The sequence below is a fragment of the Homo sapiens genome, chromosome 15 (genome assembly GCF_000001405.40).
Source record: "Homo sapiens chromosome 15, GRCh38.p14 Primary Assembly".
NCBI classification, from domain to species: domain Eukaryota; kingdom Metazoa; phylum Chordata; class Mammalia; order Primates; family Hominidae; genus Homo; species Homo sapiens.
Genome location: NC_000015.10, coordinates 93,954,781 through 93,967,589, shown reverse-complemented (window position 1 = coordinate 93,967,589; position 12,809 = coordinate 93,954,781). Strand labels below are relative to the sequence as shown.

The 12,809-nt window shown below is 36.1% G+C and overlaps 2 long non-coding RNA genes across 3 annotated transcripts in view; one reads left to right on the top strand and one right to left on the bottom strand.

Moving 5' to 3' along the window:
• The window catches only part of LINC01580 (long intergenic non-protein coding RNA 1580), an 83,450-nt gene that overhangs the window by 16,561 nt on the left and 54,080 nt on the right, over nucleotides 1-12,809 (bottom strand). The gene's annotated exons all lie outside the window — the stretch shown is intronic.
• The window catches only part of LINC01581 (long intergenic non-protein coding RNA 1581), a 202,536-nt gene that overhangs the window by 140,349 nt on the left and 49,378 nt on the right, over nucleotides 1-12,809 (top strand). The window contains exon 6 of the long non-coding RNA NR_120320.1: nucleotides 4,658-4,906. This is a non-coding gene — a long non-coding RNA (long intergenic non-protein coding RNA 1581). The remainder of the gene's footprint in view (nucleotides 1-4,657; nucleotides 4,907-12,809) is intronic.

Genomic DNA, 12,809 nt, shown 5'->3' with positions numbered 1-12,809 from the left:
GCACATGCCTATAGTCCCACTACTCCAGAGGCTGAGGTGGGAGGGTCACTTGAGCCTGTGAGGTCAAGCCTGCAGTGAGCTGTGATCATGCCACTACATTCCAGCCTAGTCAACAGAGCGAGACCCAAAAACCAACAAAAATATGTGACACACAGGAATATTTCAGCCCCTTTCTCTGTCTCTTTGTGTGTGTGTATCTTTCTCTCTCTTTCTCTCTCTCTCTCTCTCACACACACACACACACACACACACTCATACACTCATGCCATTTTCTTGTGGCTGCCACATATTATGCAATGATCTTAGTAGTCTAGCTGACCCCAGGTGACAATTAACAGGAGATGAAAGAGAAGGAGGAAAAGGAAGAAATGGAAAAGTGGAATGAGGAGGACACACACACACACACCACACACGACATGCATGTGCACACATACACGGTCTCATTTGTTTTTCCAACAATATTCCTGGGTTGAAAGAAAGGATGAGGATTGCTATGATCATTGCAAGGATATAAAAATTGAAGTAGGAAAAAGCTAAAACAATACACACAAGGTCAACACCTTGGACAAGGAAACTTCTGAAGCCTGGGCTATAGATTTCATCAGGATAAGAATGTTCAACGTTACATTTTCGCTGAAAAGGATTCCCACTATTTTCCACATGCAGTTGCACTGACCGTTTTAAATGAAATAATTGTATATATGCAAAGGTCCTGTATAGCTTTTCTAAAATTTGACAATACTACTAAAAACTTACTTGAAAATCCAATAATAGGGCTTTGGTTTTTACCCAAAGGAGTGGAAAACTTATGTCCCTACTAAAATCTGCATGTTTATAGTAACTTGACTCATAATCGCCATAACTCTTGGAAGCAACCAATATATTCTTCAATAGGTGAATGGATAAATAAACTGTGATACACCCAGGCAGTGGAATATTATTCAGTACTAAAAAACAAATAAGCTATTGAGCCATGAGAAGACATGGAAGACACTGAAATCCATATTACAAGTAAAAGAAGCCCATCTGAAAGGGCTACATACTATATGATTCCAGCTACATGATCTTCTGATAAAGGAAAAGCTATGGAGACTGTAGAAAGATCAGTGGTTGCCAAAGGTCAGGGGGAAGTTAGAGATGAATGGGGAGGCACCAAGAATTTTTAAGGGCAGTGAAATTATTCTGTATGATACTATAATGGTTAATGTATATTATTATACATTTGTCCAAACCCAAAGAATGTACAATACCAAGAGTTAACCTTAATGCAAACCACAGACTTTAGGTGATAATATGTATCGATGTAGGTTCATCAGCTATAACAAATCTGCCACTCTAGTGGAGATCGTTGATCATGGGGGAGGCTCTGTATGTGTGGAGGCAGGTACTATATGGGATATCTCTGTACTTTCCTCTCAATTTTACTGGGACCTTAAAACTGATCTAAAAAGAAGTCGTCTTTTTAAAAGTGAAATTTAAAAAAAATAACATAAAGCTAAGATTTTTCCAAACTATCAATAATAAAAAACAGATTTTTGAACTATCATACTTGAGGAATGCGTGAATTTTCTTTCTGTTATTTCAAAAGGTGATTGTGACAGGACTAGGAGCAAACTGCCGCATCCTGGGACTTAGAAATGGCAACAAGGTTAAGACTGTTGCAGAGCTGTAGGACTATGAGAGAACTGGCTGGGGTTGCCAGGGCCAGGGCCTATAGGTGTATCTGTCACCTCATCATCAGAGCTCTGGCCTCTGGGTGTCCTTTCCTGCGGGGACCCTGGAGGTCAGATGCCAGACCTATGACAACTGAAGAACCATGAAAGGAGAGAGAGTTGCTTGTAGAGGCCACATAATCTTCAGGCCACAGACGGAACTGTGGTCTTTTCAGCTGACACGCACACAATTCCTACTATAACAAATCCCCTTTCAGTGAAAAGTAATAAATCTCCTTTTGTTTCAAGAATAGTCCTTTGGGATTTCTGCTTTTGCTTTCAGAAAACTCATATGAGAAAAATTGAATCCACACGGTTTGGTGAGAAAAAGATAGGCTAAATAATTAGATGGGATTTGATCATCTAGCAAGCAGGCTAAAGATAGGATAGCAGGCTTGTATTTCAGACTAGAAACGCTTATGTTTGGTGGGGATACAGAAGACGCAGACACATCCATTCTTCCCTTTCCCAGGTTTTGCCAGCTTTATTCTCAGTTGGCAAATATCACATTCCAAGTGTTTACTACTTGAGATTTAATATAAATGTGGCCTCCATAAATAGAGAGGAAAGAAGCATTGAAATAAACTTCTAATAATAGGCTGATAAGGAAAAATATGTGCATGCATAATTATATATATGAACATGTATATTTTAACCAGAAACTACTTTTCTGTGTGTCCCATAAATGATACACTAGATACAGCTTATTTTTTTCACTTTAAATTTGACCTGTCTTTAGACTCTCATTAATATTCTGTCCTATTCTCTGTCTTCCATGGGGTACAGCATAATGGTTACATGCATGACATCTGCCCTGTGACCTGCTAGTTCACAAGAGGCTTCAGCCTCTACTGCTGGCTGATCTTTGGACAGTTAACCTTACTATATCTAGGTTTTCTGGTCTATAAAATAAACACTAAAGTAATACTACTATGTTTCCTCTGAGGCCTACAGATAATCCCTATTCTGTAACTATCAAGGTACCTGCTATGCAGTAAATGCTCCATAAATGTTGTTATTATTTTTACCTCCCCATGAATTCATTCCTAAGCTGTAAAACAGGGATAATATTCATACTTATATCACAGGGTGCTGTATGATTACGTGAGTCCTCTAAAAATATTTATAGGTATCTAAAATATTTTTAGACTCAGAGTGTACATTCCATAGGAATTCACTATTGTTCTTCTCCCATTTCACCTTGTTCTTGGCCAGGCAATTTATTAGTTTTTAAAACACCCTGTTTCTCTCGAATAATTTGAAAAGGAAAATATTTATCATAGTGAAAGGGCTGCTCAGGTTTCTTCTCCCAGATCTCTCCAAGGCAGTGAATATCAAACTTAAGAGCTAGCAGCTAATGACAGGAATTAACAGCTCTTGCTCTGGACATAGTTGAGAGAACATTCCTCATACCTAGGTCTCACTTCTATCCTCAGATGCTTATGTGGGGCACCGCTCACTTCAGAAAAGTAGGTTATACTAGAATTAAAGTGACTTTTACTGGCTTAAAGACACAGTTCCCCAAATATAATTAGAAAGATTAATTTAGAAATTAAGAACATAAAAAGAGTTTTATAGTGCCTCAAGAACTACGATTGACTTTTTAAAAATCTTTGCAACTTAACTGGGTTTGCCTTACTGAATCTTAAATTCTGTGACCAGTTGGTTTTAGATTTGCAAAGCTAAGGCAGCCAAATTGGTTATTGTTTCTACTGGAAGGCAAATATGCAGGATTGACTAGATGTGACAGATATATTCTATTAAATTTACAAGTCTAAGTGAAACTGGCTAGTTCCAGTGGAAAATCTCAATAATTTGAATAATAAATGCTATTTTCATCAACTATGGACGAAAAGGAATTTAGAATATAAATTATTTTAAAGGATCATCATCTCAAGAGCCATGGGCTGGTGCATTCGCGCATTAAAATACCTATTCTAGACAAATCCTCCAAAGAGCAACTGTTATATTTCAATCATCTTGATTCTCTATAGTTTTATGAATGTCCCTGTCTTGATTGAAAGAACTGGGAAGAGTGGTGGCCAGTCTGACAGATGTTCCATAGGGTTAAGGCTGGGGCCAACTCTTACCTATAACCGTGGTCAATTCTTCAAAGGTCCTTACAAAGCAGAAGGTAGAAGAAAAGGTCAGCAAGTCAGAAGGGAAATTTGAACAGATCACACCATCAAAGAGACAGGCCTGATAAAGTATTGATATTTAAACCTAAAATGCAGATCTGAGGTAACAGACCTGGGGAGCTAAAGAAGCAGGGAGCAACACTTCAGGCAGGGAGGGCTGGCTTACACAAATCGTAAAATGTGCTGTTGCGTGTGGAGGCTCCTGGTGTTGTAGGTAAAGCTCACATGTCTAATGAACCAAAAATGAAACTGAGACCACCTTGTAAATGTAATCCTCTGAGTGGTAGACATTGTGTATTCATGTTCTAACCAGGATCTGTCATGAATCCATCTCTAAATTCTGTTCATTTCTACTGCAGAAATCAGGAATTGGCCATAGACACACACACAGAAAGAAAAATGCATAAAATTATACCTATTGTTAATAACCTCTCCTACCGTCTTTACTTCAGAAACCACACTTTTCACAGTAGTCACCTATGTAGATGCCACAGCCTTAAACCGTATCTGAATTGTATTTATTAAATAGATAAAGAAAAGTTATATGTGGTAGGTATGAGCTATTAATGTCAATGAATGAGCCATTATTTTTATTGCATAAATTACTTTGGTGAGTAGAAAGCATATACTAGAATATTTGCATAAAACACACAGCATATGCAAAATTTAATATATATATAAAATATATACAAGTAAAATTCTTTTAATATATATATAAAATATATACAAGTAAAATTCTTTTAAGAACTATCTTGGATATATTGTTATGGTTACCTAATATAAGACTATTTTTGCTTCCCATTATAGTCAATCCATAAACCTATGTGTGGGAGACTGAGAGAGTAACTTCTGGCAGAAGAAAGATTTTTGTGGTCTTTGTCGGCTTGGCCTGGAGAGAGGTTTTCTAACTTGACATGGGAAAGTTTTCATGAACATGACAACAGAAATATGAGTCCATGACTGAGTGAGGTTCCAATCTATAAGAACAGGACATAATGAGGAAGTGACAGGTCACACTGGAAGCTGAGTTAATTGATTATATTCATACGGAACATGGTAAGAACTAAATTTACTTTGAAAAATCCAAATTTTAATGATAGTCAAGATACTGAATTTTCAGGTATTAACTTTCTGTTGTGAGTTTTAAAATTTCTCTTTGCTATGTACAAATATCTTTTTACCCTAAAGCTATTTTTTCCTCCATTTCTGAATAGAACACTGGATTCTTCATAGGCTCATGAGATCACTACTCTTCTGATAAAATGCAGGAAAGGAAAAGAGGGAGCCATATGAACCCTTCTTCTCATTTTTCAGTCCAATTTGCAGACTAACGAACTTTACGCTAATGAAAATTTGAACTAATGAACGTTTCCCTTGTCAGTATTAAATCTTATCAGTGCCACCATCTCTAAATGATTACTGATCTCATTTTTGATCCAGAACTCTTTCACTCTTGTTGTCTAGGCTGGAGTGCAATGGTGCAATTTCAGCTCATGCAACCCCTGCCTCCCAGGCTCAAGCGATTCTCCTGCCTCAGCCTCCCAAGTAGCTGGGATTACAGGCGCCCACCACCATGCCCAGCTATTTTTTTTTTTTTCTACTAGAGGAGAGGTTTCACCATGTTGGCCAGGCTGGTCTCGAACTCCTGACCTGACCTCAGGCGATCCACCTGTCTTGGCATCCCAAAGTGCTGGGATTACAGGCGTGAGCCACTGCACCCTGCCTATATATATAAATTCTATAATAATTTGAGACAAATATCAAGCCCTCCTCCTTCCATAATATCTTTCTTCTCTACTAGAATAAACCATAATTTCCTCCTCCTCTGAATTTCTGCACTTTCATACAGATATCATCAACAGAGAGTGAGCCTTCTTAGCTGGAGGTGTTTGAGCATAATCTCTGGCCAATTGTTGACTGAACACTACCAGAGCACTAAGATTCAGGCTGAAAAATAATAAATAAAGGAACAAATAAGTGAATAATTTCTAAAAATAAGCAGAGCAGGGACATTCGCGGCCACACCAGGTAGGGGAGACAGAATTCACAGATTTAATTCATGCATGTTACAAAAGAAAACAACAACCCTCAGAGAGAAAAGGACTCAGAATCCAGAACTGACACAACATATTATCTAGAATGTCTCGACTTCAAATAAAAATTATAAGGTGTGCAAAGAGACAAAAAAGTGTGATCATATTTAGAGGAACAAAACCTGTCACTAAAAGTTGTCTCTCAGTGTCACCGGTATTAGATTTGTCAGACAGTGACTTTAAAACAGACAGGTTCAATGTGTTCAATGAATTAAAGGAAACCGAACATAAAGAATTAAAGGAAAGTATGTTAATAATTATTCAATGGCTCGGCTGTCTCAATAAAGAAACAGAAGTTATAAAAACGAACCAAGTGGAAATACAGGTTGTATATAGCAACATAAGGATACAATGTAAGGTTATCTAAAGCAATAATTATGGCAGTGCCTTGTTGGGTTTATAACATGAATATACACATGTAATACTGCATGTGAAAACAATAACACAAATAAAAGTGAAGGAGAAAGATGGAGTGGATACGAGTTTCCATATTTTACCAGAATTTAGATAAAAATTATAACCGTAATAAAAAAAACTAAGCAGAGAGGCTCTATAAGAAATTTTATACAACAGAAGTCACCAAACTATAAAAAAGATCAATAGAAAATACCACGTTTAAAGAACACAGAGAAAAAAAAATGAAGAAAAATAAAGGGAGTCCTAAATACCTGTGGAATAGCTTTGAGTATAACAATTTAGGTGTAATGTTATTTCTAACAGCAAAGGATAAAAAAAGGAGAAGAAAAATATTTCAAGAAGTGATGGCTGAAAACTGTCCAAATTTGATGAAAATCATTAATCTGCAAGGAGCACCGATAATCCTCCCAAAAAAAACACAAAAATATTCACACCTAGATACAACACAGTTAAATTCTTAAAAGCCAAAGACAGAGAAAAATCTCAAAAGCAACGAGAGAAAATACAGGGGAATAAGAATAGATATAATAGCTAACTTTGTCAATCAGGGATTCTAAACCAAAAAAAAAAGTTTTTGTTTTTGTTTTTGTTTCTTAATGAAGGTGAAATACAAACCTCTCCAGACAAAAGCTAAGATAATTCATCATTTGGACACTTGCATTATCAAATTTGTTTTTAAATTACTAAAGGAATTTTGTAAATATGTAGGTAAATATATAAGACTTAATGTAAAGTATTTTCTCTTTTTTCTTAACTTCTTTAAAAGACATAAGGTTGTATAAAGTATGTTTATAATACTGTATTGTTAAATATGTAATATATCTATATCTATCTGTCTGTCTATAATACATGTGATGATAACACAAGAGCAAGTATAGGAAAAAGTATATATAGTAGAGCAAAGTTTTAATAGTTGATCAGAAATTTGTTAGTATTATTTTGAAAGATACTGTGCTAATTTCAGATGCACACTATAATCTTTATAGTATCTACTAAGAAAATGAAGAGAAGTATGAAAATGGCACACTGAAAATATTTATTTAACATAAAGGCTGGCAGTAAATCAGAAACAGAGGAAAAAGAAAGACATGGGATAAATAGAAAACAAGTAGCAAAATAGCTGATATAAATCCAACCATGTCAATAATTACATTAAATGTGAAAGTACCAAACTCTGCCCTTAAATAGCACAGAATGTCAGAATGAGGTTTTAAAAATTCATCAATGCACTGTCTAAAAAAGAAATATGCTTGATTTTAAAATACAGGTTGGAAGGAAAATAATTTAAAAATATAAATCATGTAAACAGTAACCATAGAAGTGCTAGAGTGGCTACATTATTATCAAATTTAAAAAAACAGGAAATATTACTAGAGGCAAAGAGGGTTACTTTATAATGATAAAAGGCTCATTATATTAAAATGATTTTAAAATTGTAAATATATGCATACCTACCTCAGAGCTCCAAAATACATAAAGAAAAAAAACTACAGACTTGAGAAAAGAATTAGAATTAGACAACTTAGCAATAACAGTTGAATATTTAAACCAGCTAATCTCAGAGATTAATAGAAGAGCTAGATAGAAAATCAGTAGGTGTATGGAAAACTCAATTCTAGCAATCAATTTTATCTAACCAACATATACAAAATATTCTACCAAATGACTGTAGAACACCTATTAAAGTGCACATGAAATATTCCTCAGGATAGGAAAAAAGGTCAGAAGATATCTCAATAAATTTTAAAAGACTGTCATCACACAGAGTGTCTTATCTGATCACAATTAAATATCCATTATAGAACCAGACTAACAACAAAGGAAAATGCCAAATACTTGGAAAGCAAGCAAACTTCTAAATAATGCATAGGTTAAAGGAGAAATCACAAAAGAAATTTAAAGATATAAGAAATGGCACAAAGTAAAAGTCCAGTATATTAAAATTTATGGAATTTAGGTAACCAGTGCTTGAAGGGAAATGTTTACCTTTAAGCACCTATATCTGAAAAAAAAGAGTTTTCAAATCAATAAACTAAACTTCCACCTTAAGAAACTAGAAAACAGTAAACTAACTTAAAAACAAATTAAATATTAATAAATATTATATTAGAAATAAATGAAATAGAAAACAAAAATAATAGAGAAAATCAACAAAATAAAATTTCTTTGAAAAGATCAACAAAATTCACAAGATTTTAGCTAGACCAATTAAGAAAGAAAAAAAGAGACACAAATTAACCAAAATCAGAAATGAAAAAGAAGACATCATCATCAACTTTACAGGAATTAAAATTCTCATAAGAGAATTTTATGAACAACTTTATGACACCAAATTAGATAACTCAGATGAAATAAACAAGTTCCTACAAAGATACAAATTACCAAAACTGATGCAAAAATAAATGTTTAAAGTTTGAATAGCTTATACAAAAGCTTATACACAAATGTTTACAGCAACATGATTTCCAACACTCAAAGACTAGAAACAATCCAAATTTCCATCAACTGGTGAATGGATAAACAGATATGATGTATACATCCAATGAATACTATTCTTCAATAAAATAGAATAATATATTAATGCATATTACAATATGTACAAACCTCAATTATTATACCTATTGAAGTTTAGGCTTAAAAACATATATTGTATGTTCTATTTGTATGAAATATTCAGTAAATGCAAATTTATGGAGATACAAACCTATTAGTGGTTGCCTGTGGCTGCTTATAGGAGCAGGGATTGACCATAAACAGGCTGTAGATAATATTTGGGGGATAAGGGAAGGTTCTAAAAAACTGGATTGTGATGATGATTGTTTAACTCCATATAAATTTACTAAAACTCATTGAATTATACACTTAAATTGAGTGGATTTTATGGTACGTAAGTCATACTTTCATGAGGCAGTAAAAATAAGCAACATAGATGATGTTGCATTCTTTCCTGCTGCAACTAGTCAGAAGCTTATGATGTCAGGTTGTTTCATTATTTTGGTTGGTCACTTGGTTCAGGTGGCGTCTGCTAGATATCTCCGTTGTAAACACGCCTTCTATGGTCTGAATGTTTTTGACTTCCCACAAATTCATCTGTTGAAATTCTAAGCCCCAATGTGGGACCTTGAGGGGTAATTAGATCATGAAGACAGAGCCCTTATGACTGCAATGAGTGCCCTTACAAAAGAAGACTGAGGGAGCTTGTTTGCACCTTCCACCATGTGAAAACACAGTGGGAACACGTGCATAAACCAGAAAGCAGACCTTACTAGACACTTAATCTGCTGGCGCCTTGATCTTGAACTTCCCCCACCTCTAGAACTGTGAGAAATAAGTGGCTATTATTTATAAGCTATGCAATCTACAGTATTTTGTTCTAGCAGGCCAAATAAACTAAGACAATATCTTTTCCATAGATAATTAATAAGTAATCTAAGGGGCAATATTTTGATACTATATGAGTGTTCCATTTCTAACAAATGCTTGCTATCTTATTTTATCATTTCTTCTTTAGCTTCATTAGCTATCATCCTTCATGAAAGTGAGCTCACTCTCCACTCCGTTTTCTTTGCGTATCACTATGGACACCTTTATTCTTTTTCATTCAATATGTTATAATTGATCTATCTCTATTCTATTTTATAGACGTATTGCCCTAACGTTGACCAGCTGGAGTCCCTTCAAGTTAGTTCATCCTCCTTTTGACATGTCTGCATCAGCCTCTGAGCACTTCATTGCTTTCCAGCACAGCAAGATGTTACACATTCATTCTGTCCTTTTCCTGACCCAGCCATTTCTCCATGTATTCCTGGTAGCTTTGGGTGGTTAATGGTGTTTAAAATCAGAAATGATATCTTCTTTATCCTCCCTCCTCTCCACCCAATTGGAACTCTAAAGAGTTGCTGAGTCCATAATAAATATTTCCAATAAATGTTGGTGAGATTTAATCTCATCATAATGATCTGGGAATGCTTGAGAGTCCTGTGATGGATGTGTTGGTGAGCAAGAGGAGACAAGCGGGTGGACTTGAGCCCTAGCTGGCATTGCTTCATCGGGTAGCCTCTGCAGGTCAATACATAGTCAGATTTATTCTCTCCGACTGTAAAAATAATTACCTGCTTCTTAAGAGTTCTGGGAAAATTAATTTGCTAATGCCTTTAAAGAGATTTGAAGATCAAAAGTTCTATGTATATGCTAATATTATTATCTTAAATGGTTCTCTTGCTCCTGACTGAAACTGAGATGGCTAAATCACAGTGTCATTGTAAAACCACACACAATTCCCTATCACTTTAATGGCCAAGCAGTGCAAATCTGAATGGTGGCATTGCAGCAGCAACAAGCAAAATGCAGAACAGTAGGAGTGGTTCTTGAATCTCAATATCTAGGTGTGCATTTAGTTGAACCAATACTCATTAACTCTCCACTATACCTATCTACTATGTGTAAACTATTGGGCACAGTCCCACTTTCTAATTTTATTTATCTTCATTCCTTTCTGAACTTACTACTTCCGAACTAGCAAAAATCTTCTGCAGAGGCCAGATAAAAGTTTGCAAAACAGATAGTTATGTTACATTGAAGAGAAGCTGTCATGAGCAATGAGGAGACCTGGTCTTAACCTCTGCTAATAATAAGATCTGACACTAGGTGAGGCAAGTCATTTCTCTGTGACCCTAGTCATTGGTCACATTCAGAAACCATGATGCTGTGATTCTGGCTGTTGAGGCTATTGACTTTGCATGAAGAACTGCAGAGACCCACAGCAAGGGCCAGGATATAACGAACAAATGAGAGAAAGGCAGGCTGGACTGTGTGAACTATACAGGGTGATACTGCACCCTCCATTGGTTGGTCTTTAGTTGTTCACTGCCTACATAGTCACGGGCATAGATAGATAATTGTGACTTGGGGCTATCAGATGTTTTAGTAGTTTGTCTATAAAGGTGGTTGTGATAATTCTACCCTTCCCTGTATGCACATCTCTTTTGCAGTGTAATCTTACCACTTCTGCCATAAAAAAATAGGAGGGAATGTTTTCCCCTCGCAGGAATCTGAACTGACTTTGGGATATACTTTAATCCAGAAAATGAAAATTAAAGAATGTTGTGTGACTCCCAAACCTTGAATTTAAGAGGTATGCAGCTTCTGTTCTAACCTGTTGGACACTGACAAAACATGCCCTAAAGAAATCCAGAAGAAAAAAGCACTTGGGGAAACAGACCCAGCCATAGCAGCCTGTCCTGCCATCCTACAGAGCTGAGCCCCCCGTAGGATGAGAGAGCTCTAACAAGACCAGTGGAGAATCCACCAGACCAACTCACAAACGCATGAGAAGTGATCGTTCATTGTTAAGTACCATAATGGTGAAAATAGAAAGCTAAGCCAATAACAGAAATATGTATTGAACACTTACTATGGGTCAGTACTCATTCAAACCCTTTCAACGTAATAACTCATAGAATCCTTTTAAGAACCCTAGGGGCTAAGTACTATTTTTACTTCAATTTAACAGATGGTGAAACTGAGTCAGGCAGGGATTAACCAACTTGCCAATGCTTTCACATACATTAAGTGGTGCAGCCAGGATTCAGTCACAAGTAGGTTTGACTTTGGAGGCTGTGTCTTAATCCCTATACAATGTACACAGAGTGGACATTTCCCCACTGGCCTGGGGGCATCCTTATGACGTCGATTTTTTCCAGGTAAATAAGCAGCATAATCTTTCACTCACTAAAGTCTGTCCAGCAGCCCGATATCAAAAGAAACCACTCATCCTCCTTTCAATAGGTCATTGGACTGTGGGTGTGTTTTTAGACCTTTGAAAGACCATTATCAATCCTGAGTGTTTACTCTTGATAACACTCTTCAGCTATGAGAGGGTGCAGAGTCATAGGGTCCAGACACATAGCTCTGAGATAGAAATGAGGGCAGAACTTGTATCACGAAATGTGTTTGTCTGGGATTTCAGGACAGGTCACCTTAAAGCAGCAAGCTGGTTAGGCAGGGAACAGCCACACAGTTTACCAGTATACAGACCAACAAGGGAGGCAGGGCTGTAACATGATCCTATCTGACAATAGTACAAATGAAGTGCCGAAAGCAATTGCCTTTTATACACAGGCAGATAAACAATCATCCGCCTTTGCCTTCAGAAACAGGTCCAGGCATTCAAGAAGGAGAAATGCTAAAAGAAACGTGGCACTAATGTGTCAAAACGTGGCACTAATGTGAACAATGACTTTCTTGCTTAAGGTGATGACAAAACAGCTCCTGATAAAGAATGAAATAAACATCGCATGGGAATAATTGTAATGAGGAATATCTCACTCTTCATCGAAATATCCATGAACATCATCTTATACACTGTGAAAAATATAATTACAGAACTGACCCGGACTGGAAATGTGAAGAATCTATAGCTAAAGCCTGGCTTATTTGGATAAGATTCC